Source organism: Homo sapiens, chromosome 15 (assembly GCF_000001405.40).
Source record: "Homo sapiens chromosome 15, GRCh38.p14 Primary Assembly".
NCBI classification, from domain to species: domain Eukaryota; kingdom Metazoa; phylum Chordata; class Mammalia; order Primates; family Hominidae; genus Homo; species Homo sapiens.
In genome coordinates this window covers 65,318,063-65,345,831 of record NC_000015.10, presented here as the reverse complement: position 1 = coordinate 65,345,831, position 27,769 = coordinate 65,318,063, and the positions used below count along the sequence as shown (strand labels likewise).

General features: G+C 53.4%; 1 protein-coding gene across 5 annotated transcripts in view, besides 6 other annotated features; it reads left to right on the top strand.

Moving 5' to 3' along the window:
* Positions 1-18,705, top strand: part of IGDCC3 (immunoglobulin superfamily DCC subclass member 3) — a 50,876-nt gene extending 32,171 nt beyond the window's left edge. For 3 of the 5 annotated variants that reach the window (NM_004884.4, XM_011522244.2, XM_011522243.1), the window contains 12 exons: positions 9,876-10,020; positions 10,411-10,541; positions 10,967-11,104; positions 12,417-12,575; positions 13,726-13,891; positions 14,173-14,420; positions 14,618-14,782; positions 15,091-15,282; positions 15,435-15,539; positions 15,968-16,106; positions 16,235-16,442; positions 16,684-18,705. In NM_004884.4, the coding sequence (NP_004875.2) occupies positions 9,876-10,020; positions 10,411-10,541; positions 10,967-11,104; positions 12,417-12,575; positions 13,726-13,891; positions 14,173-14,420; positions 14,618-14,782; positions 15,091-15,282; positions 15,435-15,539; positions 15,968-16,106; positions 16,235-16,442; positions 16,684-16,923 (2,036 nt within the window). In that variant the 3' untranslated portion in view covers positions 16,924-18,705. The other 2 variants (XM_011522241.3, XM_047433374.1) reach the window with 2 other exon arrangements.
* Positions 9,418-9,995: an enhancer, noted in NCBI's record as "H3K4me1 hESC enhancer chr15:65628175-65628752 (GRCh37/hg19 assembly coordinates)". NCBI's record gives its function as "activates a minimal SCP1, AML or CMV promoter by ChIP-STARR-seq in primed H9 embryonic stem cells {active_cell/tissue: H9 hESC(primed)}" and the evidence as "EXISTENCE:reporter gene assay evidence [ECO:0000049][PMID:30033119]".
* Positions 10,575-11,153: an enhancer, noted in NCBI's record as "H3K4me1 hESC enhancer chr15:65627017-65627595 (GRCh37/hg19 assembly coordinates)". NCBI's record gives its function as "activates a minimal SCP1, AML or CMV promoter by ChIP-STARR-seq in naive H9 embryonic stem cells {active_cell/tissue: H9 hESC(naive)}" and the evidence as "EXISTENCE:reporter gene assay evidence [ECO:0000049][PMID:30033119]".
* Positions 11,154-11,732: an enhancer, noted in NCBI's record as "H3K4me1 hESC enhancer chr15:65626438-65627016 (GRCh37/hg19 assembly coordinates)". NCBI's record gives its function as "activates a minimal SCP1, AML or CMV promoter by ChIP-STARR-seq in naive H9 embryonic stem cells {active_cell/tissue: H9 hESC(naive)}" and the evidence as "EXISTENCE:reporter gene assay evidence [ECO:0000049][PMID:30033119]".
* Positions 12,762-13,434: an enhancer, noted in NCBI's record as "H3K4me1 hESC enhancer chr15:65624736-65625408 (GRCh37/hg19 assembly coordinates)". NCBI's record gives its function as "activates a minimal SCP1, AML or CMV promoter by ChIP-STARR-seq in primed H9 embryonic stem cells {active_cell/tissue: H9 hESC(primed)}" and the evidence as "EXISTENCE:reporter gene assay evidence [ECO:0000049][PMID:30033119]".
* Positions 19,454-19,997: an enhancer, noted in NCBI's record as "H3K4me1 hESC enhancer chr15:65618173-65618716 (GRCh37/hg19 assembly coordinates)". NCBI's record gives its function as "activates a minimal SCP1, AML or CMV promoter by ChIP-STARR-seq in naive H9 embryonic stem cells {active_cell/tissue: H9 hESC(naive)}" and the evidence as "EXISTENCE:reporter gene assay evidence [ECO:0000049][PMID:30033119]".
* Positions 26,920-26,969: an enhancer, noted in NCBI's record as "active region_9595". NCBI's record gives its function as "activates an Ori minimal core promoter by ATAC-STARR-seq in GM12878 lymphoblastoid cells {active_cell/tissue: GM12878}" and the evidence as "EXISTENCE:reporter gene assay evidence [ECO:0000049][PMID:35858748]".

Here is a 27,769-nt window from a genome sequence, read left to right as displayed (position 1 = left end):
CTAGCCTGTCTGAGCCTTAGAAGGGCTAGTAATCCCTACCTCTCAGAGTTATACAGATGGAAGTAACATCTAACCTTTGCCCCTTGATGGCCTTTGCAGGTCTTTGTTTTTCAGAACCATATTACTGTGACAGTGACCTAAGATCCTGGCTCTGGTGCTTTCATCCTTCTGATGTTTCTTTTTTCTTTGCTTTGCTTTCTTTCTTTTCTTATTTATTTTTGTGCGTGTCTGTGTGTGCATGCGTGTGTGTGCGTGTGTGTGTGTGTGTGTGTGCGTGTGAGACAGGGTCTCACTCTGTTACCTGGGCTAGAGTGTAGTGGCACAGTCACAGCTCACTGCAGCCTCAACCTATTGGACTCAAGCGATTCTTCTGCCTTGGCCTCCTGAGTAGCTGGGACTACAGGCACACGCCACCATACCCGGCTAATTTGTGTATTTTTTGTAGAGACGGGATTTCACCATGTTGCCCAAGCTGGTCTCAAACTCCTGGGCTCAAGCGATCTGCCCACCTCAGCCTCCCAAAGTTCTGGGGATTACAGGCATGAATCACTGCACCTGGCCATCATCCTTCTATTTCTTAGGAGGTTGGGTGTGCACATCTAAGGACGGATTTGTGGGATGGAGGGAGTTTGCTCCTGGGGTGTCAGAATGTCCTGTCTGAGACATTAGCATTCAGTAAGTATCTGTTGAATGAATGCTTACAGTTGACTCAGTGGGTCTGCTGTGTAAATAGGACAGATGACTATATTTCCCAAACCAAAAACCAGGACATGTCCTGACTCATTGCCTGATGTGTAGGATGAAAACAGGGCCAAATACTCGAAACTGGGACTGCTTTTGAAAACCTGGCTGTGGGGTTGGTGGGGTGGTCACATGGAGCAGGAGATGCTTTTCTCCCTTTCCCTCCTCCCTGAATGTAAGAGGCTACCACTAAATGCAGGGCAGGGCACCCCCCAGTCCCTGTGCTGTCTAAGGCAGGCGCCCTTCCTGCATCCCACAGCACACAGCCCCAGGCACACTTCACACCCTCCACTGAGGGAGGAGTTGCTCATGGCTTGATCTGGAGGAAGAACTGGAGCCTCCAAATTATGGGGCTGAGTAATTAAAAGCAGGGCTTTAAGCGGTTTTATTCCCCTTGGGTTGTAAAAGTCCAGCCTAGAGGCTGCTGAGAGCCCTGTTTGCCTCCCCTGCAGCCACGCCTTTGGCCTTGCAGTCCATTTCACCCAGTCCACCAGCCAGGGGACCAACAGCTAGATGCTGAGACATTCCCAAGCGGAATCCAACCTCCCACTGCCCCCCACCTCTCCCCCATCCAGGCCCCTGTTTGTCAGAGGTGGCTGTGAGAGGGGAGAGATGTGGATTTATGGCTGCTGACTTGAAAGACAAAGTTGCCTTTTGTGTCAGAATTGGGTGCGGGGGAGTGGTGAGCTGGTGGTAGTGAGGGAGAGAGTAGGGAGGGGCTGGGGTTCAGGGGCCCAAGGCAGGCGGCGAAGGACTTGAGGAGGCCAAGAAGGCAGACGGAGGCATCCAGAGGCTTCTCAGAGCAGGGTCACTAGGCAAAGTCCCAGATGGGTCAGTCACCCCCAGTGAAGCCACCACAGTCCCCTGAGGCTATTTGTAAATGCCAGACACCCATCTTCCCATACTCACTCCCACCCACTCCAACACCCAGATGCCACACAGCCTCCCCGCTTCTCAAAACATACTCTTTGGGTTCAGAGCCTTCATTCAACTCTCAGATGCTCCTTTGGAAGCCCAGGGAAGTAAGTCATGCTTCCCCCACCCCAGATGATCACAGCCAGTCAGTGTGGGGTTTCTTCCCTAGCAGAGCCAAAGTCAGGGGCTAAGTGGGGATCCAGATGATGGGTACCTGGGACAGAGGGTTGGGAAGGGTGAGCCTGGGCCAGAGAACCCTGATGACAAGACCACTACCCCACCAGGGACCCTGAGCAAGTGGCCAGCCTCTCCCGGATTCAGGGTTCTCTCCACCACCTTTCTCCTCATAGACTTTTAGAGATGGGACATTTGCAGGTGCCTTGAGGAGTTTAAAGAGCATTTGACATGGCTGGCCTCCTTGCCCTCCAGGGGCCATCTTGCCCCAGCTGTGCCCCACTAGCACTCTTCCTGGTGGCTCCGGTGGGTCTGCGTGGAGGCCAGAGTAGCCATCGGGCGCCTGAGTTCAGCAGGTGTTTTAACTATACCTCGGAGAGCCACATCCAACCCCCGGAATGAGCCTGGCCAATAAAGGGCTGGGTTTATAGGCTTCATAAACATTTTACTAGAGAAATCAAGGCCTCAATTACCCAGTGGCCTCTTCCAACTGACAGCTTGTCTATTGGGACCCCGTGAAGCCCCCAGGCAGAAGTAAGGTAGAAGAGGCTCTGGTTTATACCCTGCTGCTCGCCCCCGCAACACATGTCCTCCCCCCACACCATTCAGGCCTTGCAAATTCAGTTTTTACTCCCTTCTCCAGACAGCTTGAGCTCCACCATGCACTCCCTGAGCCTCATCCCCTCTGAGGAAAGAGGCTGCCCCTTGGAGAAGAGACACGACCATTTCTTCCTGACCCCCCGCCCTGCTCTTCCACAATCTCTCAGTTCCCTTTTAACTCAAGATTATACCATCTTCCCTCAAGAACAGATAGCAAGTATTTGCTCTCTGCCAAGGCCTGCGCTAAGCAGTTTACGAACATAGCTCATTGAATCCCCCTATTGCAGTGGCTCTAGTGACTTGAGCTGTGATCATCCCTGTTCATAAGTGAGACAATAGAGATTTCCAGAGATTCTATCACTTGCCCAAGATCCCACAGCCCATAATGGTGGTGCTGAGATTTGAACTCAGTTCTGTATGATTCCAGAACCTTTACCATTAATCTCCTCCCTATACCACTACCTCAAACAGTTCTGAGCCCAAGAGGTCGAGGTGAACCCGGGCAACAGAGCGAGACCCTGTCTCAAAAACAAACAAAAAAAAACAAACAAACACAAAAGCAAACAAAGTTTTAGCAAGTATTTCCCCACTGGGAACAGAAATCTTTCCATGTGAGGCCTTCCCTGCCCTGCAGCGTGACAGCCCTAGCGTGGGATCTGATGTGGGCCTCGTCATCAGTCTCTGAGTCCACGTGGCCAAGAGGGGGGAGTGCAGGCAAGGGCAAGGCTGGCCAGTGATGAGGATGGAGAGGAGGGATGCTCTCTGGAGGGACGGCCAGAGAGACCATGAGCAGTAGAGAAGGCAGCAGAGGAGGAAGGGGAGTCCACGACCTTGCTTCGGGTCTGGACCAGCACTATCCGATAGACTTCTCTGTGATGACTGAAGTTCTTCTATTGGTGCTGACCCATAGTGTAGTCAGTAACCACTTGTGGCTGCTGAGCACTTGAAATGAAGCTAGTAAGAGAAAGGAACTAAATTTGTTAATTGTATGTAATTCTAATTTTTTTTTTTTTTTGAGACGGAGTTTCACTCTTGTTGCCCAGGCTGGAGTGCAATGGCGTGATCTCGGCTCACCCCAACCTCCACCTCCCGGGTTCAAGCGATTCTCCTGCCTTAGCTTCCCGAGTAGCTGGGATTACAGGCATGTGCCACCACGCCCGGCTAATTTTGTATTTTCAATAGAGACGAGGTTTCTCCATGTTGGTCAGGCTGGTCTTGAACTCCCGACCTCATGTGATCCACCCGCCTCGGCCTCCCAAAATGCTGGGATTACAGGCATGAGCCACCGCGCCTGGCTGTAATTCTAATTTAAAGGGCCACATGTGAGGCTGGGCATGGTGGCTCATGCCTGTTAATCCCAACACTTTGGGAGGCCCAGCTGGGAGGATCACTTGAGGCCAGGAGTTCAAGACCAGCCTGGCCAACAGGGCAAAACTCCGTCTCTACTAAAAATACAAAAAATTATCCAAGCGTGGTGGCAGGTGCCTGTAACCCCAGCTACTTGGGAGGCTGAGGCATGAGAATCGCTTGAACCTGGGAGGTGGAGGTTGCGGTGAGCTGAGATCATGCCACTACACTCCAGCCTGGGTGACAGAGCAAGACCCTGTCTCAAAAAATAAATAAATGGCCACATGTGGCTTGTAGCTACCACATTAGACAGCACAGACATGGGATGGTTGATGATTGAAACTTACTCAAAGTCTTCTGATGATGTAAGGCCCTGTGGGCTAGGAATTTGACTTCTCTAGGTACCTCATATATGTAGAATTCTACAGTGTCTTTTTGTGACTGGCTTATCTCACGTAGCATAGTGTCCTCAAGGTTCATCCCTGTTGTAGCATGTGTCAGGATTTCCTCCTTTTTAAGGCCGAATAATATTCCACTCAATGGATATAGCATATCTTGTTTATTCATCTGTCAATAGACACAAGTTTCTTTCACCTTTTAGCTATTGTGAATAATGCTGCTATAGACATTATCAAATATCTGTTTGAGACCCTGCTTTCAGTTCTTTTGGGTATATACCCAGAAGTGGGATTGCTGGATCACATGCTAATTCTATTTTTAATTTTTTGAGGAGTTATCATACCGTGTTCCACAGCAGCGGCACCGTTTTACATCCCCACCAACATTGCACAAGGGTTTTGATTTCTCCACATCCTCAACAACAGTTGCTATTTTCTGTATTTTTGATAGTACACATCCCATTGTAGTTTTGATTCGCATTTCCCTAAGATTAGGGTCTTTTCTCTCTCTCTTTTTTTAATACTAGGTCTTCACAATCCAATGTGTATTTGATACTTACAGCCCATCTCAATTTGGACTGGCCACATTTCAGGTGCTTAATAGCTGGCCACTATATTGGAAAATGTGGGCCGGGCATGGTGGCTCACGCCTGTAATCCCGGCACTTTGGGAGGCTGAGGCAGGTGGATCACTTGAGGTCAGGAGTTTGAGACCAGCCTGGCCAACATGGCAAAACGCTGTCTCTACTAAAATTACAAAAATTAGCTGGGCATGGTGGTGCGTGCCTGTAGTCCCAGCTACTTGGGAGGCTGAGGCAGGAGAATTGCTTGAACCCAGGAGGCAGAGGTTGCAGTGAGCTGAGATCTCACCACTGCACTGCAGCCTAGGTGATAGAGTGAGTCTCTCTCAAAAAACAAAAGAAAAAAGAAAGAAAAAGAAAATGTGGTTCTAAAGGGAAAAGTTGGGTACAGTGAGTAGAAGTGTATGGGATTCAGGTATGTGTCTGGAGTAAGCAAAAACATGATAATCATCCCAGCTGCCTGAGGAGGGGCTGGACATCCAAAAGGCTGCGTGTCCCTGGTCTTTGGCAGGGATAGATACAAGGAGGGAATGGGCCTCGGTGGCCTTCAGAAGAGTCTGTGGTTCACAGCTGCCCCTCTTGAATGGCTGTATGAGGTGGGGACAGCCGGCACCTCAGAGCCCCAGGGCCCCTCGCTTTTGCAAAGGTTATGTTTTGAACTCTCCATCCAAACATGCCCCCAGATCTTTTTACCATCACAGACCGGATAGGAGTCTGGCTATGGCCAAAGGGTGGGGGGCCTGAGCTTCCTTCCCAGCACTCTACCTCGACCCTTTGCTGCCCCCCACCTCCCCCTGGAGCCTGTCTAATCAGATCCAGGCCTGACCTCGCCAGAGGTCCTGGACCAGGAAGAGAGTTCCCCTCCCCTCCCTGAGCGGCCCTAGATCTGGCTCTCAGGAGGCCCCTCCCCTTGGGTGATTTATAGAGGTGTCCAGGAACTGTTTCCTTCCTGTTTCTTTTCCCTTCCAGCCCTGTGAATTGCTAAGCTCACTCTCTGCCCTCTGTCTCTCCCCTCAGCCTGGTCGCACCTCTGGTGGGGGCAGGGCGGTGCTGGGAGATTCCTTCCCAGATCGCTGTGGACAAAGGTGCCTTCTTCCTTTCTCCCCACCTACTGCCAAGCAGGACTTTGTCCTCCCTGTCGCTTTCTCTGGCCCTCACACCTGGAAGACCATTGCCCATCACCCCCTTCCCATCACCCAACTTGAAGTGAGGGACCCAAAACTGTCCCTACCAGACCAACAGATATCCGCAGGAGTGTAAAGCATCAAGAGCCAAAGTCACAGCACCACTGTCACGTGCACCAGCCACAGACACAATACCACCAACACCAGACATAAATACTCAATGCTAATACACTAGCTGGTCTGTACTGTCATCAGCAACACAGTGGCCTGCAGGGTGACTTGTTCAGATCTCAGGGTGCCCTGAAGTCCGGCCCTCAGCCCCACTTCCTCATGTTTGCTCAGGGACCCTCTCCCTAGAGAGACATAATGAGGGACAGTCCACCCGGCTCTGTGGCCTGCTGGCACAAGCCAGGGCATAAACACACTTGTGAATCAAACATGTTCCACCCTGAGAAACTAGAGGGGGCCGAAATGGCCTCAACATCCCTTTTCCTCAAACTTCCTAAAGAAAAAAATGCTGTGCCAGTCCGGGCAACGTAGGGAGACCCTGTCTCTATAAGAAATACAAAAATTGGCCAGGCACAGTAGCTCACGCCTGGAATCCCAGCACTTTGGGAAGCCAAGGCGGGCGGATCACGAGGTCAGGAGTTTGAGACCAGCCTGACTAACATGGTGAAAGCCCATCTCTACTAAAAATACAAAAATTAGCTGGGCATGGTGGCGTGCATCTGTAGTACCAGCTACTCGGGAGGCTGAGGCAGGAGAGTTGCTTAAGCCTGGGAGGCGGAGCTTGCGGTGAGCTGAGATCATGCCATTGCACTCCAGCCTGGGTGACAGAGCAAGATTCCGTCTCAAAAAGAAAAAGAAAAAAGAAATTAAAAAATTAGCTGGGCGTGGTGGTGCGCGCTTGTGGTCCCAGCTCCTCAGGAGGCTGAGGCGGGAGGATCACCTGAGCCTGAGAGGTCAAGGCTGCAGTGAGCTAGGATCATACCACTGCACATCAGCTTGGGTGACAGTGTGAGATCCTGTCTCAAAAGAAAAAAAAAAGAAAAAATACTATTGCTTATGAACCAGATGTGTGTGGAAGATTTTAGGAGACTCCAGCTAAGCTGAGTTTGCTGGCCCAGAGATTGTGGATCCTGTTCATGAAGACAGATGAGGAGGCAGGGCTGGAGGGGCCCTGAAGAGCGACTCATCCACTCCCTTCATTTGTGGCTGAGAGGATGCTGCCTGCCCAGGGTCTCACAGAAATCCTAGGACGCCTAAGGAATATGCAGGACTGACCAAAGAGTTGAGAGAGGGTATAAGGAAGGGAGGGAAGGAGGAGCCTCAGATGAAGAGGACCACACCCTCCCTCTTGCACCTGCCCTTCCTGGACCACACCTGTGCAGCCAGCTGGGCTCCCAGGGGTGGGGGTGAAGAGCCTTCCCTAGAGCTCATTACCTTTCCTCCACACCGTGAGAAGAAGCTAGTCCAGCATGCAGTCCACTCTGCAGTTACCTGGCCTTGGAGAGTGAGAAACTTGCTGGAAAACTAAGGGACATCCCAGCAGAGAGCCTGGCCTCAGTTTCCCTTTCCTAAAATAAAGAGATTAGCTTCAGATTCATGGTTTTCAATTACTCTTAAAGGCAAAGCTACCCTTCAAATTAAATGTTTAGCAGAACTGTAACCAAGTCAAGCTGATCGAGAGGTACAGCAAGGTGCTGCTCTGACGGAAGGGAAATGTGAGCAGGAGGTGGGCTTAAGTGCATCCAGGGGACCCTTAGGAGTCAGTCGCACTATGCACAGTGACGGATATCAGACTGGCTCCATACCTGTGACCCTTCCAGCTCTAGCACCATGTCCAACTGTGCTGTGGCTGCTTAGTGCTGAGGGGAGGAGGAGGGAGTCAGGCAGTGGAAGCCAGACTTTCTCCATCCCCAGCGCCCTGATAAGAGGCAGCCCTTTCCCTTGTATATTTCCTCAGGCCAGCTCCTAGCACTGGGTGCCTCCAGGGAGCCCAGGATGGGGCTAGAAGCACAAAAGGATTTGTTCCTTAATGAGGAGGCATCTGTAGTCAGCAGAGCCATTAGTCCCCACCCCAGGTCCCTGGGGGACTGGGAACTCCTATCCAGCTGGAGTGAAGAGGAGGCTGGCAGCTCCCCATCTTCGAAGGAGCAGGGCCTGGGGGATGTAGACAGCTGACCCGGGAGCCTGGGTGCCCTCTCCACTCCCTGGGCTCATGGCATCCAGTTGCCTTCCTGGAGGTGGAGGGCTAGAGGCAGTAGAGGGGCTCCAGCAGCACCTCGGCCCCCTCCCCCAAGTCCCTGGGCTTACTTACCTCCCTTGGCCAAACACAGCCTTTGGCCTGAGGCCGGGAAGGCCCACCTCCCAGTGCTCCCTGGGGATCCTCTCACCAAGCCTGATGGGAACACCAGCTGGGACACTTGCCCCCACCTCCCACCCCCAGGGCCCCAAGGTACTGTTTATAAGGGCTGTACCTACGTGGGGATGTGTGTGATTGATTACCTGCACAGAACCAGAGGTACACACCCGCCGCAGCAGTGGACGGATTCCCGTCCAGACACAGACACTCAGACCACATACACGGAGACACAGCCCCGCACACATGTACAAAGAGGCGCACACACCCATCAGACACACTCCCAGGAGGCCCTCAAAGACGAGGAGGCAGGGCGGTGATTTTTATGCATGTTTATATTTAATGAACCACATGCAAATGAGATGGAGAACACGCCACAAAGGAGCCAGCCCCCAGAGACTCTGGGTGGAAGGGCACAAAGGCTCGCCTTTTGGGCTGCCCTGGAGGCCAGATCAGGCTGGTGGATTGAGGGGGCCTGAGATGGGGGATGGGGGCCACGGGGAGGGTGGCCTGCCCACACCAGGGAGCCAGGAGCAGGAGCCAGGACGAGCTCCAGTGTCCCTGCTGCTGTGGGGGAGGGCTTCCTCTGGGAGGGGAGCGACTGTCCCAGTTGATGGAGTGCCTGAGACGAGGGGCTGCCTGCCTGGACAGATGGTGTACCGCCTTCCTGCACTTGAAGCAAAGTGGATTTTAATGAAATCGCAGCCCTGGTGCTGAAGCTGGGAACCCGAGTGGGAGGGGCTCCTTCCCCAGGCATTACAGGGTGGGGTTTGGGCATGGGTGGAAACGGGGGTGGGCAGAAACACTTAACCAGCCTGTAACTGGGAGGGGAGGGTGCACCACAGCCCCTCTGCACTGATGATCTCTGCAGACCAGAGTTCAAGCAGTTAGTTCAGATCCCCAAAAGGTGGGGAGGGGTCCCTGAATATTTATGACACATTGAAATGTAGATTGGTAGGTCTGACAGTCTTCTGAGAGGCTTGTCACCTTGGATGGATGCAACACCCTCTTGGGGTGCATCGAGAGACTGCAGATGAACTGGGGGTGGGAGGAGTAGGAGAAGGAGGGACCAAAAAAAAGCTCCCGGGCCCTGGTAACCAGGGCCTGATGACCAGTGTCCCTGCTGGGCAACAAAGGACTAATTGCTTCCCTTCTCTGAGCCTCAGCTTCCAATTCTATAAAATGTGAAGCACTGAGGATCTGAGCCCTTGCCTGCCTTAGGGAGAATTTACAAAAACGAATCTGAAAGCTGCTGAAAAAGTGGGGTGTGGGGCTCGGGAGCAGGGCTTTGTCTGATTGGCCTTCATGGGTCAGTTTTGGGGACCAAGGCCTCCAAGAGAAGTCCCAACAGTGCAGGATTTCCTTATTAGAGGTTTGTTATCCAGAAGTTTGTCCAGACTTTTTACAAAGTATCCCAGCCCAGCCTATACCACCTCTCAGGGGAGATGTTTCCTAGCTATTGGAGGCTGGGGTAAGTGCTGATGGGTCCCCCAAGCTATTGCCCTTGCAGGAAAACTCCTGCCCCTGGATGGAGTGGGCTCCAGGTCTCCGTGCCTGTGACGCCACTGCAGCCCATTCTCTCCTACCTTCTGCCCTCAGCAGCGCACTGCACTCATACACTTCTCTTCCCCCAGCCATGTCGGACTTCCACGTGCATCCCCAGGCCACCGTGGGTGAGGAGGGTGGTGTGGCCCGCTTCCAGTGCCAAATCCATGGGCTTCCCAAACCCCTGATCACTTGGGAGAAGAACAGAGTCCCAATTGACACGGACAATGAGAGGTGAGCCACGTGTGGGAAAGACAGAGGGAGGACAAAGAGGTGGCCAGTGACTCTGGCCGTAGAGAAGGATGGCCCGCGGCTCTGGGAGCTGCAGTTGGTGCCCACAGGTGCCTGAGATAGTGGTGTTTCTGCAACCACAGTTTAGACTGGGTATCCACATGACTGGCTGGGCCCAGATTGTAGGCTCATGGATGTGTCTGAGGATGTGTGCGATCGTTGTCAAGGCTGGAATTGAGGGTGTGTCCACCTTTGAAAGTCCCAGTGTGTGTCTGCTGATGTTGGGATGGTGCAGTGCTTAGGTCCTGGGCTGTATCTTGGATGCCCAGAGTCTTTGTGGCTGATTATGTCAATGGCTGTGCTGGTGGCCAACTATGTCCCTCCCCTCAACAGGTACACATTGCTGCCCAAGGGGGTCCTGCAGATCACAGGACTTCGAGCTGAGGACGGTGGCATCTTCCACTGTGTGGCCTCAAACATCGCCAGTATCCGGATCAGCCACGGGGCCAGGCTCACTGTGTCAGGTGAGGGTCCTTCAGCACTTTCCCCCAACCTCCCCACCTGGCCTCCTCCTCCTCCCTACCCTTAGATCAACCCCCTTCAGCTGGCCTCTGCAGCCTTCTCAGCCACGTGCGTGCAGAGTGCCGGGCTCTGTGCTGCCTGGCGTGAGGGTGCACAGGAATCTAAGGCTGGATCTCTGGCTCATTTCCCCCTGGGAATCCCATCCTATGCTGATCTCCAGGACTTCCCCATTGCTGGCAGCCCTGCAGAGCCCGCAGCAGAGGGACGGATGTCTGGAACGTCCTGGTCTCCTGGTATCTCTCTGCCCACAGGACCTGGTTTCTGGGCTGGTGTTTGTTTCCCACCCGCTGTGTCCTGGGCTGTGGGTGGGGTGAGGAAGCGGGAAAGTCCCCAGCTGAAGTGAGGATATGTGGCGTCTTCCTCCCAGGCTCGGGCTCTGGGGCCTACAAGGAGCCAGCCATCCTCGTGGGGCCTGAGAACCTCACCCTGACAGTGCACCAGACCGCGGTGCTTGAGTGTGTCGCCACGGGCAACCCGCGCCCCATTGTGTCCTGGAGCCGCCTGGGTGAGCCTCATCCCCACAGCCCCTGCCCCTCCCAGCCTGTCCCACCCCCTGGGAGGGCCGGTCTCAGACTCCTCACCCAGCTCCAGGGGAATGTGGAATCCTGTTTGTTCTCTGTGGGGGTCCATTCTATCCCTGTGACCTGGGAAGAGGGTAAGTTTCCCTCTCCTGGAAGGACCAGGGAGGCCCGCCTGCCCACCCCATTCTCATCCCTGCAGGGATGGCTTAGCTCCTTGGGTTACCTTGTCCAGTCCCTGCAGTCCTCCCCTCACCCTGGCCTCGGGGACCCCAGCACCCTTCAGCAGCCCTCAGCACCCCAGAATCTGTCCCCTCCTGCTAACTCCTGCCCTCTATACTCTGGCCGTGTTCCTCAGCTGTGCAGTCCCAAGTCCCTAAAAATCCCAGCCAGTTGTCAGACCCTCACTCTGGGCCCCCCCAATCTCTAGCCTGGCCCCCTAAGTCCCCCAGCCTAAATCCCCAGGCAGCTGAAAGAGAGAAATGAAAGGGTGCAGATGGGCCCACATTGTCTGAGCAGAAAGGTCACTCGGGAAGGAAACTCTGGAGGGGGTGGGGTGGGGCACCGCATTCACAGGGAGACTGTGCCACATTGTAGCAGCTGAGTGATGGGGAGGGAGGGGGCAGCAGGCAGGATAATGGAGTAGATTTCACCACTTCAGGGCCTGAATGGGGAGCTGTCTCCTTGTATTCTGACTGTGCTAATCTGATCCTGGTGGGGGTGGGGGAAGGGCTCGGGTCCCTGGGAGAGGCTGGAAAGAGTGGCCGCACCATCAGGAGGAACCTCTAGGCACTCCAGGGACCATCTGGTCCAACATTTCCCAAAGCATGATCTGTCAAGCCGGAAGGAATGGCCTGCTGGTCTAACAAGTTTGGGAAACAAAGTTAACCGGGTTCCCCCCCCAACCAGGTCACAGGGGCACTGTGATGTGACTTACCATCCAGGCATAGAATGGATATTTGACCATGGATCCAGAGAGACAAACCAGGCTGGGAAACGTCAATCTAAGACAGACTCCTTTACAGATTGTGAAACAGAAGGGGAGGGCCTTGCAGGTGGCCCGTGAGTCAGTGGTGATGCTAGGGTCAGGACAGGGTCTCCGCTGCTAGGCGCGAGGGTTCTGTGCTGCTCTCTGCTGCCTCTTCCATGTTAAGGTGCCTAGGAGGGAAGGGGCAGAGTCAAAGACTGGGGCTCCCTAGAAGACAGGAGGAAGGGCAAGCCATCTGGAAGTTTCCTTTACTTTCCTTCTTCCATATCTCTATCTGACCCTCACCCATCCCCCCTCCCCTTCCTCTGCAGATGGTCGCCCTATCGGGGTGGAGGGCATCCAGGTGCTGGGCACAGGAAACCTCATCATCTCAGACGTGACGGTCCAGCACTCTGGCGTCTACGTCTGTGCAGCCAACAGACCTGGCACCCGGGTGAGGAGAACGGCACAGGGCCGGCTGGTGGTGCAAGGTATGGATCAGCCAACCCTGAGGAGGAGGGCAGGGATCTCCGCACAGTCCCTTCCTCCCAGCCCAGGCCCAACCCCAGGGCCCTGTCCCACCCCAGTCTCCTGGACTCGCCCTGCCCCTCGCCCCTCACCGGCCCCCAGGCCAGGCCAAAGGCGGTGCGTTCTTCCCGAGGAATGCTTGCGTTGGGAATGGGTGGATGGTCTTGGTCATGCTCCCCGGCCTCTGCGTGCCCTCCGGGTCCGTCAATACCCCTCCACCCAGGGAGTCATTTCCACTTTCTCATCTCAGCTGGTGTCCCCACCTGTGTCGCTCACACGTGTCTTCCCACGTGCTGTTTTCATTCACACGTGTGGCATCTCCACGCTCACACCTGCCTGCCTGTGCACTCCGGGCCTGCTTGTCATTTTCACTCTGTCGCCGGCAGCCTCACTGCGCAGGCAGAGCTGCCTCCCCTCCCGTGGGGCGGGGCCCTGCCGCTAACCTGGTCCTTCCATCGGCCTCTGGCTGTGGGGTTTAACTGTCCCCATGCACTGGGCTTGGATGAACATTTTTAGGGTTTTCCTGTGGTTGTTCCCTACCGGAGACCGGGGGAAAGGGTGGGAAGTGGGAGAATTAGGAACTTAAATGCCCATTTGTTTAGCATTCCATGTGCCGTTAACCTGTCCAAATGAAAGTGATGGAGCATTTCATTTCCCGGTTTTAATAGAGGCTTGAGGCCTGGGATTGGAGGAGAGCGGAATTGAATGTGGGGGCGAGGGGGCCCCCGGTACTGAGGCTCATCCATCTCCCCATCATTACCGCTTTCTGGAGGTGCAGCCAAACCTATTAGCACATTTATTTATTTAACAATTTCCTGAACAGGGAGTTCAGCTTGATTGCTTTCGGATACAAATGTCAGTCTTTTAAATAGTCATTAAAAAGGAGTCCTCTCAGGTCTGCCTGGGGAGGAGGGAAGAGGGAGGTGGGCCATCTCCTGAGCTGGGCAGGAGTAGAGGCTGGGCCCCACCTGGAGGAGTCTCCAGGGGGCAGATGTGTGTTTGGAGCCCACCTCTCACCCTGTGTATCTCCAGTCCCATCCCCTGTTCCCTTCCTCATGCCGTCACTCACAGCTGTGTCTGTCTGCGCCCCCACCCTCCTGACTCTACTCGCAGCCCCAGCTGAGTTTGTGCAGCATCCCCAGTCCATCTCCAGGCCAGCTGGGACCACAGCCATGTTCACCTGCCAAGCCCAGGGTGAGCCACCGCCTCATGTCACGTGGCTGAAAAATGGACAGGTGCTGGGGCCAGGAGGCCACGTCAGGCTCAAGAATAACAACAGGTATGTGTGTGGTGTGTGCTGGGGTGAGGACCAGGGGAGAGCAGGGAAAGCGGGGCCTGGAGTGAGTGGCCTGAGTAGGCTGTACACCTCCTGCCAGGGAAGAGCACAGAATTGGGAGTCTGGAGATTGAGGTGGAGTCCCAGTTCCACCACCAACTTGCTGGGAGACCTCACACAAGTCGTTTGTCTCCTGGAAAGACTCAGTTTCTCCATCTTTCAAATGGGGAGATTTGGTCAACCTCCAGGGAGGAGGGAACCTGAGGCTGTCTCTCTCCCCTGCAGCACACTGACCATTTCTGGAATCGGTCCTGAGGATGAAGCCATTTATCAGTGTGTGGCCGAGAACAGTGCGGGCTCATCACAGGCCAGTGCCAGGCTGACCGTACTGTGGGCTGAGGGGCTCCCCGGGCCTCCCCGCAATGTGCGGGCAGTCTCTGTGTCTTCCACTGAGGTGCGTGTGTCCTGGAGTGAGCCGCTGGCCAACACCAAGGAGATCATCGGCTACGTCCTGCACATCAGGAAGGCTGCTGGTGCGCGTGGCCAGCTCTGTTGCCCCTTCCTCTAATTCACTATTTCTTATTCCTTCCAATCCTGCACGTCGTGACCCGATGCCTCCCTTTCCTTCTCCCCGCTGTCCCCCCGGGCACCCTGGCTGCCCTCATTTCACCAATGCTGGCAGGACTCCCCCAGTCCTTCACACTCCCCTGCCCACCCTGTGCCTCTCCAGACCCACCGGAGCTGGAGTATCAGGAGGCAGTCAGCAAGAGCACCTTTCAGCACCTGGTCAGCGACCTGGAGCCCTCCACAGCCTACAGTTTCTACATCAAGGCCTACACACCAAGGGGGGCCAGCTCAGCCTCTGTGCCCACCCTAGCTAGCACCCTGGGTGAAGGTGAGGCCTGGGTGTGGAGCACAAAACCACAGGCACTCACTCAGGGTATCAGAGCAGAACCACCATGCACACTTGTTCTGGTTGTGCGCTGTGCAGGGTGCCCGGCCCTGAGGCTGTCAGGGCTGAGTCTACTTGGAGGAAAGGGCTTCTTTTTCTAATTCCTAGGAAGGTGCTGCTTTCATAAGCACATGCCCTTGGCCAGAGGCCAGAGGGCTGTCAGGCTTTTGGGGGTCGGGGTCACAGGTGGAAGGTAGAAAGATAGAGCTTCCACTGGGTCCTCACATCGTGGCCTCCTTCTCTACCTGCAGCCCCTGCCCCACCCCCACTGTCAGTGCGAGTCCTGGGCAGCTCCTCCTTGCAGCTGCTGTGGGAGCCTTGGCCCCGGCTGGCCCAGCACGAGGGCGGCTTCAAGCTGTTTTACCGCCCAGCAAGCAAGACCTCCTTCACCGGCCCCATCCTGCTGCCTGGAACCGTCTCCTCCTACAACCTCAGCCAGCTCGGTGAGGCAGACACAGCCCAGAGCCTAGGGGGCTTGGCAGAGTGCGGCGCTGAGGGCCAGGAGGTGGCGTACAGGGGTCACCTCCCTTTCCTGGCTAGGACAGGGCACGTGGTTGGGCAGGGGCAGTTGCTCATCCGCCCTGCCTTCCTCCAGACCCCACTGCAGTGTATGAGGTGAAGCTGCTCGCCTACAACCAGCATGGAGATGGCAATGCCACAGTCCGCTTTGTGTCTTTGAGGGGAGCATCTGAGAGGACAGGTGAGGGCTGGGGATGGAGTGCGGGGCTGAGTGGGTGGGAAGCCGGGAAAGTAATGGGGTGAGATAGCATGTGCCACGCTTGAAAACACAGGCTTAGACCACAGTTTGAAGCTTGGCCATGCACATGCTGGCTGTGTGACCTTGGTCAAGTTACTTAACCTCTCTGATCCCAGTTTTCTCTATAATACAGGGATAATAGTACCTACTTTACAAAGCTGTGGCAAGGATGAAATGGTCCATGCTATTCCTAGTATCTGGTAAAAAGAACCAAAAAGATTGGTCTGGAGTCCTGTAGGCAAAGTCAAAGGATGTTCCCACTCCCACTTGGGAGTGGGAGCAGCTGAAGGAAGAGGAGTCCCCAGAGGCTGGGTGTTTGGGAGTGCTTCAGACCTGGAGAGCCAAAGCCTCCAACCCGTCCCTGTCCCCAGCCTTGAGCCCACCATGTGACTGCCGGAAGGAGGAGGCCGCCAACCAGACGTCCACCACAGGCATCGTCATCGGCATCCACATCGGGGTCACTTGCATCATCTTCTGTGTCCTCTTCCTCCTGTTCGGCCAAAGGGGCAGGTGGGTCCTGGGCCAGGGAGAGGGGCTGGGCTGGTGTGTGGGGGACTAGGCCTAGAGAAGGTGAGTGTGGGCTCACTGCCTCTGTCTCTTTTCTCTCTCCCTCCCCCCAACTCTTGGCTAACCCTTAGGGTCCTCCTGTGTAAAGATGTGGAAAACCAGCTGTCCCCTCCACAGGGTCCCCGGAGCCAGAGGGACCCTGGCATTCTAGCCCTAAATGGGGCGAGACGGGGACAGCGGGGCCAGCTGGGCCGAGACGAGAAACGTGTGGATATGAAGGAGCTGGAGCAGCTGTTCCCCCCGGCCAGCGCAGCAGGGCAGCCGGACCCCAGACCCACAGTGAGTGCCCATGTCTTAAACAAACCCCCGCCTCAGGCTCTGACACTGCCACCTTCCAATCCTGCCCCCCTTCACCTTGGCCACGGGCCTCGATCATTGGCCTTAGTCAAACTGCAGGTCTTCTCTTTGTGTCCCTGAGTCAGGCAGGGAGACCTGGAGACCCTAAGGCCCAAGTGGGGTGAGTTGGAGCCTGGCGCCCTGGCCCTCAAGCTGACGCCTGTGTGACGGGCTCTTTCCCCAGCAGGATCCTGCAGCCCCCGCTCCGTGTGAGGAGACCCAGCTCTCCGTGCTGCCACTTCAGGGGTGCGGCCTGATGGAGGGGAAGACGACGGAGGCGAAGACCACAGAGGCCACGGCTCCCTGCGCCGGCCTGGCGGCTGCCCCACCACCCCCAGATGGAGGCCCTGGCCTCCTCAGTGAAGGCCAGGCTTCCAGGCCTGCAGCGGCCCGGGTTACCCAGCCAGCTCACTCGGAACAGTAGCCAGTGTCTGGCAGGCTCCAGAGGGTGGACGGAGCGGGGCCCATTCTCAGGTCAAAAGCAAGATTTCTACTGTCATGTGGGATTTGGATGGTCCTGGGGGCTCCCCAGCATTTCTATCCTGACTGCCTCTTGGGTTGTCAAAACCCAAGGCAGCCTTGACAGGGACCCCCCGGCCCTAACACCCATCAGGAGTTGGAGCAGTTCCTGCAGGAGCCTGTTCCTTCCCTGGGCTGACGCCCCCTTGCCTCTGCCTGGTACCCACATGACTTGGAACTGAACTAACATTTTTCTTTAAAAAGCAAAACTTAAAAAAAAAAAAAAAGAGGAGAGAGATAGAGGAAGGTGAATTAGACTCCAAAAGATGACCCTGCTGTAGCTGGGCCCTGACACTGTCACCCTCCACCGACTTTGTTTTCTCAGGATGGATTTTTGCTGTTTTGGCTCTCAGCACCTACCTCAGCCGGAATGAATGTCCTGGGGGGCAGTGGGGCGGTGGCCTCAGCCCCCTTACCCCACAGAGCCCGAATGCACTCCTACCTCAAGTCCCCTTGCTGGGGACCCCCTCTCCCTTCCCACACTGTTGTCCAGAGTAAAAAAAAAAAAAAAAAAAAAAGCACTTCCCCGTTTCCAGGTGTGAAAGAAAAAAAAAAGCACTTCCCCATTTCCAGATGTGAAAGAAAATGTCTACCTCAAGGCTCGCTGGCTCTGTGGGCTGTGTTGTCACTGGACCTGCCTCCCCGCCCCTCCTGCCCACAGCCCACCTACCTCTCCTGCAGAGGAGAGGCCAGAGGTTGGGCCACCAAGGGGAACTCTTGTGGCCTACAGAAATAGAAATGGATTGGGCAGAGAAAAAATGTGAAAGCAGCCAAAAATGAGAGGAAATTTGTTCCTTGAAGTATAAATTGTCCAAACGAGCCACCTCCCAGCACACCGCCTGTCCCCGTCTTGTCTGTCCACTCCCATTTTGAGCCAGCCCATCCTTGATGGGGATGCCCATGAGGAACCTGGGCTTGGGAGGGTGGCATCAGCTGGCCGCCTGCCTCCTGTCCTGCAGGCCCGGCCCCTGGAATGTACCATGTGTGGGATGGGTGTGTGGGAGGGTGAGGGGGTGTGGGTGTCCCCTGCAGAGGCGCCCCAGCCTCAGGCACCCAGCCAGCCTGATCCACCCCTCGACAGGGGAGCATCCACTGTCAGCAGCCATGGCCGGAAGCTATTTTTATACAAGGTGTGTTAAGGGTTATGTTCTTGTGACTTTTTGTTACTCTTTTCTGTTGTGTTGTTCTTTGAACTACTTAGTTAAAGAAGAAGAAAAGAAAACCAAGGAAACAAATACCTATTTTTGGTTATACTCAGAAACATTTTTTTAAATAGCAGAAGAAAAACTTTTTTTAAAGAAAAAAGATAAGTGTATTCCTTAAGAATGAGACCATAAATATCCCTGACCCCCAATCCTCTAGGGACACCTCCACCCTGAACTTTAGTTAATTAGCTGAAGAAGATAGAATTTGTGGTGTTTTCCTAGAAAACTAGAGCTGTGTCCGCGTGGACTTGGGGAAGGGTAGTCCCTTCCCTTCTCCCAAATGATGTGTGGATGCCCAGGGCTCCACAAAGCTCCAAGGCAGTGCCCCCTCTGTTCCCAAAGCAGCTTCTCTCGGGAGCCTCCCTCTCCCTTGGGAAGGGTGCGGCTGGGGCAGGAGGGGGCTGGGGGGCCACCTGGCCTTACTTGGGTTTTGTCACACTCTGCTCATTTTGACTGAATAAAAGTCCTGTTGCCAAAGTGAACCTGGAGTTTTTGGGTGGTTGTGTCAGGTCCTGGGGGAGGGGCTGCGGTGCTGGGTGGGCCAGGGCCCTCACAGGCCCAGAACCTGGGATAGTAACAGCAGACCCTATACACTACAGCTCTCTGCCACATGAGGTGCAGTTCCTGAGTCCTCACCCCTCCCTGTGACTAAGATATGCTAGTGACCGTCATCTCCATTTTATTTATTTTTTTGAGACAGTTTTTTACTCTGTTGCCAAGGCTGGAGTGCAATGGCACAATCTCAGCTCAACCACAACCTCTGCCTCCTGGGTTCAAGTAATTCTCCTGCCTCAGCCTCCTGAGTAGCTGGGATTACAGGAGTGCGCCACCACACCCAGCTAATTTTTGTATTTTTGGTAGAGACAAGGTTTCGCTATGTTAGCCAGGCTGGTCTCTAACTTCCGATCTCAAGCAATCTGCTCATCTCAGCCTCCCAAAGCGGTGAGATTACAGGCATGAGCCACCGTGCCTGGCTGGTCATCTCCATTTTATAGTTGATGAAACCAAGAAAAAAGAGGTGAAGGAAATGTCCACAATCCCACACAGGCAGTTGGTCAGTCTGATCCTCACACAGGATCCGAGTCTGTATCCAGGCCAGGCTGCCAGGTTCCAGGCTCTGCATTCTGACCACCGCCCCACCCCTCCTCGGCCAGCAGCGAGGCGGCTGCTCGCTCAGCCCGCCAAGGTTAAGCGCTCTCCAGGTGCTGGCCAGGCAGGGCTGTGTGCTTTTCACGCACTGTCTATGAGGAAGGACTGGTTTCCTCCCGGTTCTGAAGCTGAGGAAACAGGCTGTGACTGAGTGATTCCCTCCAGGGCACTCAGCCAGGACTCCGGCCAGGCCTCTCTGTTCTGCCATTGTCTCTCAGTCCAGGCTCCTGAAGCCAGTTGCCTGGAGCTGCTATGGCTTAGGTTCGAGAGAGGCTGGGCTTAATGGCAGTTATGCTGACAAAGATCCGAAGGTCTCAGCTGGCCTCAAGCTTAGTAAGAGGCAGCAGTATAATGCAGCTACTGCTGAATTTGAAAGCCTGGGTTCACACCCAGGAGGCTCAGCAGACCTGGAAAGCCAGGTTCTAAACCCAGGGGCACCTTTCGAGAGGAACGTACCAGGAGAGCAGTGGGTAAATTGGGCTCCCTGGCTATGGCTGGGGTGAGGGGGAGCTCTCTGGAGGGCCTCCTCACTCTCCCTACCCACCCTCACCCAGACCAGCTCAATATTTTTTCCCATATTTTTTCTGTCTTATTACATGTTGGCTTTTTTTTTTTTTTTTTTTTTTTTTAATTTGAGACAGAGTCTCACTTTGTCGCCCAGCCTGGAGTGCAGTAGTGCGATCTCGGCTAACTGCAACCTCCGCCTCCCAAGTTCAAGCAATTCTCCTGCCTCAGCCTCCCGAGTAGCTGGGATTATAGGCACCAACCACCATACCTGGCTAATGTTTTGTAGTTTTGGTAGAGACAGGGTTTTGCCTTGTTGGCCAGGCTGGTCTCAAACTCCTGACCTCAGGTGATCCACCTCCCTCAGCCTCCCAAAGTGCTGGGATTACAGGCGTGAGCCACTGTGCCGAGCCCATGTTGGATTCTTGATGAAATTTCACTTGAAAGCAGGATTGTGATCCTAAAAGAACATCTGAAGGTACCTGGCCAGGCACTTCCAGAAGAGGCCTGTGGATAGCTGGGCCCGAGGTCAGGTCAGGACCAGTGACGGTGCTAGGGATGCTGAACCAGGCAAGAGAGCGCTGAGGCCTATAGGGCGCCTATCCTGAATCTCCAGGGAGGTTGCTGACTTTCCCTGATTATCCCAGGAAAGAACTATCTCAAATATAGATATAAAACTCTTTCTTTACACGGCACTTTGCACACATAGATGTTTTAACAACTTCAGCCATCCAAGGGCAGCCTGGGGAGGTGATTGTTCAAGTCAACCCTGTGGGGTTGGGGGAGTAGACAAGTAACATCCAGTGCCCCTGTCCCTTCTAAGAGTCCCAGATGGGAGGTGTCTGGAAATGTTTAGAAACCACAAAATGGGCCAGGCGCAGTGGCTCACGCCTATAATTCCAGCACCTTGGGAGGTCAAGGTGGGCAGATCACCTGAGGTCAGGAATTCGAGACCAGCCTGGCCAACATGGAGAAACCCCCGTCTCTACTAAAACTACAAAAATTAGCCAGGCGTGGTAGTGCATGCCTGCAATCCCAGCTACTCGGGAGGCTGAGGCAGTAGAACTGCTTGAATCGGGGAGGCAGAGGCTGCAGTGAGCTGAGATCATGCCACTGCACTCCAGCCTGGGTGACAGAACGAGACTCTGTCTCAAAAAAAAACAAAACAACAACAACAAAAAACCCCACGAAAATAAGGCTGGGTGCAGTGGCTCACGCGTATAATCCCAGCATTTTGGGAGGCCGAGGCGGGTGATCACCTGAGGTCAGGAGTTCAAGACCAGCCTGGCCAACATGGGGAAACCCCATCTCTATTAAAAAATACAAAAATTACCCAGGCATGGTGGTGCCTGCCTGTAATCCCAGCTACTCGGGAGGCTGAGGTGGGAGAGTTGCTTAAACCTGGGAGGTGGAGGTTGCAGTGAGCCGAGATCACGACACTTCACTTCAGCCTGGGCAACAGAGCAAGACTCTGTCAAAAAAAAAAATAAAAATCCACCAAAATATGATCATGCAGATATATGCAAATTGTATACAAAACACAAACAAATGTAGGCAGGGCCTGCCCTAACCATCACAAGTCTCAGCCAGGCTTGGGTAGATGACAGAGCAGGGTTCCAGTGAGGAAGGTTAGCAGAAATAGGTGTCAAAGCTGAGTGGCCTGACTGGAATCCAGGTCCTGAGATCTCAAATAGCCCAGAGGCCTCAGGCTGAAGAACCCCGTCAAACCTCACTGTCCCCCACAAACTATCTTTGGGCAGAAATCTGCCACAACCAAGGCTGCAACCTGTTCCAATCATCTAAGGCTCTGTAACAAACAACCCTAAACCTTTTTTTTTTCTTTGAGACGGAGTCTTTCTCTGTCACCCAGGCTGTAGTGCAATGGCATGATTTCTGCTCATTGCAACCTCTGCCTCCCGGGTTCAAGCAATTCTTGTGCCTCAGCCTCCCGAGTAACTGGGATTACAGGCCCACACCACCACACCAGGCTAATTTTTTGTATTTTTAGTAGAGATGCGCTTTTGCCATGTTGCCCAGGCTGGTCTGGAACTTCTGAGCTCAGATAATCTGCCTGCCTCGGCCTTCCAAAATGCTGGGATTACAGGCGTAAGACATCACGCCTGGCAATTTTTTTTTTTTTTTTTTGAGACCAAGTCTCACCCTGTCACCCAGGTTGGAGTGCAGTGGCGTGATCTCCACTCACTGCAACCTCCCCCTCCCAGGTTCAAGCGATTCTCCTGCCTCAGCCTTCTGAGTAGCTGGGATTATAAGCACCACCATGCCCAGATAATTTTTTGTATTTTTAGTAGAGACGGGGTCTCACTGTTTTAGCCAGGATGGTCTCGATCTCCTGACCTCGTGATCCACCTGCCTCGGCCTCCCAAGGTGCTGGGATTACAGGTATGAGCCACCATGCCCGGCCTTTTTTTTTTTTTTTTTTTTTTTTTTTTAAGAGACAGGGTCTCACTGTGTTGCCCAGGCTGGAGTGCCGTCAAACCTTGGTGGTTTCACATCACATTTATTTGGCTTACAAATATGCAGTCTGGGCAGGGCTCAGGGGCAGCTGTCTCTGCTCCACTCTGCATCAGCGTGGGCAGCTTGAAGCCTGGGGGCTGGGATCCCCTGAAGGCTCCCTCCCTCCCGCGTCTGGTGGCTGATGCTGGCTGTGAGCCCAGCACCTCCACATGGCCTCTCCGTGTGGCCTGGGCTTCCTCACAGCATAGTGGCTGGGTTCCAAAGACAAGCGTCCTGAGAGAGAGAGCCAGGTGGAAACTGCAACATCATTTCTACGCCGGCCCAAGTGACACAGCATCACTTCTGCTATAGTCAGCTCTTTAGAACAAGTCGCTAAGGCAAGCCACATTCAGGGAATTCAAGGGGAATTAAAGTCTTCTTTTCAATGGAGAGTCAAAGAATGTATGGACTGTTTTAAAATGACCACAGGGGCCGGGTGCAGTGGCTCACCCGCCGGGGAGAATTACTTGAGCCCAGGAGGTGAAAGTAGCAGTGAGCCGAGATCATGCCACTGCACTCCAGCTTGGACTATAGAGTGAGACTCCATCTCAAATAAATAGATAAATAAATAAATAAAATGACCACAGGGCCACTCCGGAGGGACAGGTGGGGAACAAATATGAGCCAGGAGGCAGGGAGGGGAGGAAAGCTTTACCCCATGGCCCTGGGACTGTGCATGAGGCTGGTGGGGACACAGCTGGGGACGGCAGGAGACAGAGGGTGCCCCGAACTCCTATGGGGACACTGGGGCTGGACACAGGGAATGAGTGAGTGGGGGCAGCTAAGGCTGGGGGCCTGCCTTAAATTCTGGGTTAAGGCTTGAGTCAGGGAGGGGAACAGCTAAACCCATGGTCCTCTCTCAAAGAGGTATTAGAGGGCTGGGCACAGTGGCTCACTGTGTAATCCCAGCACTTTGGGAGGCCAAGGCAGGAAGACAGCTTGAGGCCAGGAATTCGAGACCAGCTGGACGACATGGCAAAATCGTCTCCACACAAAATTTAAAAATTAGCCAGGCATGGTGACACATGCCTGTAATCCCAGCTACTCAGGAGGCTGAGGTGTGAGGATCGCTTGAGCCTGGGAGGTTGAGGCTATAGTGAGCCAAGATCGTGCCATTGCACTCCAGTTTGGGTGACAGAGGGAGAACCTGTCTTAAAAAAAAAGGTACGAGGGGACTTGGGGACTGATCTGAGGGCTTTGTTGCTCCCCTGAGCCCCCCTGGAGCTACCTTGGAACGGAGAGGGAGCAGGGAGAAGAAGGGGCTGAGAGGAGGCCGAGGAGGAGCCTGGCTGGCAGAGAAGGGAAGGGCTCCTTGGACTCAAGAGGGATGGACACTGAGTTCCCACAAACGTGGATGGCCCCTTGGTCACCGTGCACCACGTGCCACCACCACAAGGCAGGGTTGGCCCTGGCTATTACTCCAGAATAGCCACCCTCTGACCAGGCTCTGCTCCCCACAGCTTCTCCTCGTCATGGTGCCTCTTCCTGCAGATGTCTCTCTCGCTCTCTGGAGGGGCTTCCTTCCCCGAGGCCCAGGATGCCCTATGCTGCATTTTGTCTCATTGCCTCAAAAGCTGGCTCCCCATTATGTGGACTTGTGCTGCCAGCACTTTCTTCATAACCACTGAAGGAATCAGAGTGTCTAACTGGGAGTACTGGGGACACTGTCACAAAGCTACCAAGAAAGCATACTTTGGTTCAATCCCGGCTGCTATAGTAGTGTCTTGGGTCAAGAATTGGAGAGTTTTGTGCCTGGAAGCTTGAGGTCATCTCTCCCGTGGCCAGCAAGTCCCCAGTTATTGGGCTGAGGCTGGGGTGAGGAGAACCAGAGCCCCAGCAGGATCAGAGAACAGTGAGGTGTCTCCTTCCATGCCTAGCTGGGGTGTCACCTTATATGGGGGACCTTCTCCAACTCAGCTGGTGGCTATGCCTTCAGCCCTTTGCCACCTGGGAGCTAGTACAGAGCTCAGAGCCAGTGCCCTGCTATTGAGAGCAACGAGCTGTCACTGTTCCCTGTCTTCTAGTGAGAAGCATGGCACCCTCTGGAGCTAAGAAGGTGGTGGCCATGGCCCAGGCTGTGGACACTAGAGTCCAACTGATGTGGTTTGAACCCCTGGCTCTGCTATTTCCTAGTTGTGTAACCGTGAGCAAACGATTTAACTTCTTTACACCTCTGTTTCCTTGTCTGTAAAATAGAGATAATATGCCCCTACCTCAAAGGGTTGTCGACCCAGCTGGGTTCTTTGCAGAAATTGATGAGCTGATTCGAAAATTTATACGGAAATGCAAGGGATCCCAAATAGCTAAAACAATCTTGAAAACAAAGAACAAAGTTGGAGGACTCATACTTTCTTGGTTTACTACAAAGCTACAATAATTAAAAAGTGTATTCCTGGCATCTGGGCAAACATATATCTCAATAAAATAGCACCAACAATCCAGAAATAAACTCTCACATTTATAGTCAATTGGTTTTTGACAAGGGTGCCAAGACAATTCAGTAGAGAAAGAATAGTCTTTTCAAAAAATGGTGCTAGGACAACTGGATATTCACATGCAAAGAAATGAATCTGGACCCTTTACACCATACAAAAAAAACTAACTCAGACTGGGTGTGGTGGCTCATGCTTGTAGTCCCAGCTACTCAGGAGGCTGAAGCTAGAGGATTACTTAAGCCCAGGAGTTTGAGGTTATAGTGAGCTATGATGGCACCACTGCTCTCCAGCCTGGGTGACAGAGGGAGATCCTGTCTCAGAACAAAACAAAAAAACAACAAACAAACCTTAAAACAACAACAAAACAACAACAACAACAACAAAGTCGAAATATGTAGCTACTGTATGACCCAGCAGTTTCATTCCTAGCTGTATACTCAGGAGAAATGAAAACATATGCTTGCCCGGGCATGGTGGCTCACGCCTGTAATCCCAGCACTTTGGGAGGCCGAGGTGGGCAGATCACTTGAGGTCAGGAGTTCAAGACCAGCCTGGCCAACATGGTGAAACCCCGTCTCTACTAAAAATACAAAAATTAGTCGGGTGTGGTGGTATGTGCCTGTAGTCCCAGCTACTCAGGAGGCTGAGGCAGGAGAATTGCTTGAACCCGGGAGGCGGAGGTTGCAGTGAGCCAAGATCACACCACTGCAGTCCAGCCTGGGTGATAGAGTGACTCCATCTCAAAAAAAAAAAAAAAAAAGAAAAAGAAAAAAGAAAACATATGCTTGCACAAAAATTTGTACATTGATGTTCACAGCAGCATTAGCCACGGTAGATAAAAGGCAGAAACAACTGTCCATCAGCTGATGAATGCAGAAACTAAGTGTGGTCAATCCACACAATGAGATATTATTTAGCAGATTAAAAAAATACTGAAATGAAACGAGTACGTGCTGCAACATCGATGAACCTGGAAAACATTACACAGGTACTAAGTGAAAGAAGCCAGTCTCAAAGTCCCACATATTGTACAATTCCATTTATAGGATATGTCCAGAACTGGCAAGTCTATAGGGACCAAAAGCAGATTGATGGGGGCTAGGGGTTGGGAGAAAATGGGGAATGACAGCTAATGGATACAGGGTTTCTTTTTGGGGTGATGAAAATATCCTAAAATTGTAATGATAGTTGCACAGTCCTGAATATACTAAAAACCATTGAATTGTTCACCTAAATGGCGAATTGCATGGAACATGAATTATACCTTGATAGAGCTGTTATTAAAAAAAAAAGAGGTTGAGAGGATTCACTGAGTTCATGTAAGTGAAGCGCACAGTTTAAGTGTTCAAATGATCCCACTGTAATAGGCAGAGAAACTGGAGCAGGCAAGGCAAAGCAACCCTAAGTTGGGGGAGGGGGGAGAGGAATGCCGGGGAGAGGGGAGCAGGATAAAGAAGAAAGCAAGCAGCCAGGCGCGGTGGCTCACACCTGTAATCCCAGCACTTTGGGAGGCTGAGGCGGGTGGATCACAAGGTCAGGAGTTTGAGACCAGCCTGGTGAACATGGTGAAACCCCGTCTCTACTAAAAATACAAAAATTAGCCGGGCGCAGTGGCAGGAGCCTATAATCTCAGCTACTTGGGAGGCTGAGGCAGGAGAATTGCTTGAACCCAGGAGGCAGAAGTTGCAGTGAGTCAAGATTGCGCCACTGCACTCCACCCTGGGCGACAAGTGCAAAACTCTGTCTCAAAAAAAAAGAAGGAGGAGGAGGAAGAGAAGGAGGAGGAGGAGGAGGAGGAAGAAGAAGAAGAAGAAGAGGAAAAAGAAAGAAGGAAGGAAGAAAGGAAGAAAGAAGAAGAAAGATAGAAGAGTGAGCTTGAAGGGCCTCCTGCAGCTGGCCTGGCCTCCCTGGAGCCCAGGGAGCCTCTGGTTCCAAGCATGGCAGCCTGGAAGCTGCGCTCCTGGGAGGGCTGTGACTGGCGGACTTTGCTGCCACCCAGTGGAATTAACAAGGATTACAGCCACGGGAACAGAGGCCTGATCCCTACTGGTGACTAATTGAGCCCAGCAATTAAGATGCTCTGGGCCCCATAGGAGAGAGACAGACCCTCAGTGAGCTGACAATCTATAGGCTTGAATACAAGTAACTGCTATCTATTCAAATACTTATGTGGGTGAGTACCAGCAGCACATTGTAGAAACGGAAGGAAATTATCCTGAAGTGCTGGATTAAGGAAGGCTTTGAAAAGGAGTGGAAACAGGGGAAAGGGCATCCAAGGCTGCAGGCACAGCATAAGCAAAGCTTGGGAGGTGTGCAAGTGCATGGGGAACTCACTGAGCAGGCTCAAGTCTTCCATTTGCTGCATGGGGCCTGCCACCTAACAGATGGTCAATAAATATATGAATGACCACTAAATTTCTAGAGCATATGCTTTTTGTGGGGTCGATGTGTCTGAGGAAAGCCTTACATGGTTTCCAGGTGGACAGAAAGTCATCGAGAGGGTCAGATAGCCTAGAGTTTCCTCGGGGAAGGGAAGGAGCCCCTATGGAGTCCTCCCAATGATAATGATGCTACTTCTGTTATTACAGAAGTAGCATCCTGTCATGCAGGCTGGAGTGCAGTGGCGTGATCTTGGCTCACTGAAACCTCTGCCTCCCTGGCTCAAGCAATTCTCCTACCTCAGCCTCCCAAGTAGCTGGAATTACAGGTGCCCACCACCACGCCTGGCTAATGTTTGTATTTTTAGTAGAGACAGGGTTTCGCCATGTTGGCCAGGCTGGTTTCAAACTCCTGACCTCAAGTGATTCGCCCACGTCTCAGAGTGCTGGGATTACAGACGTGAGCCACTGCAACCGGCCTATTTTTTTTTATTGTATTGTACTGTTTTTTTGTTTTGTTTTGTTTGTTTTGAGACGGAGTCTCACTGTGTCACCCAGGCTGGAGT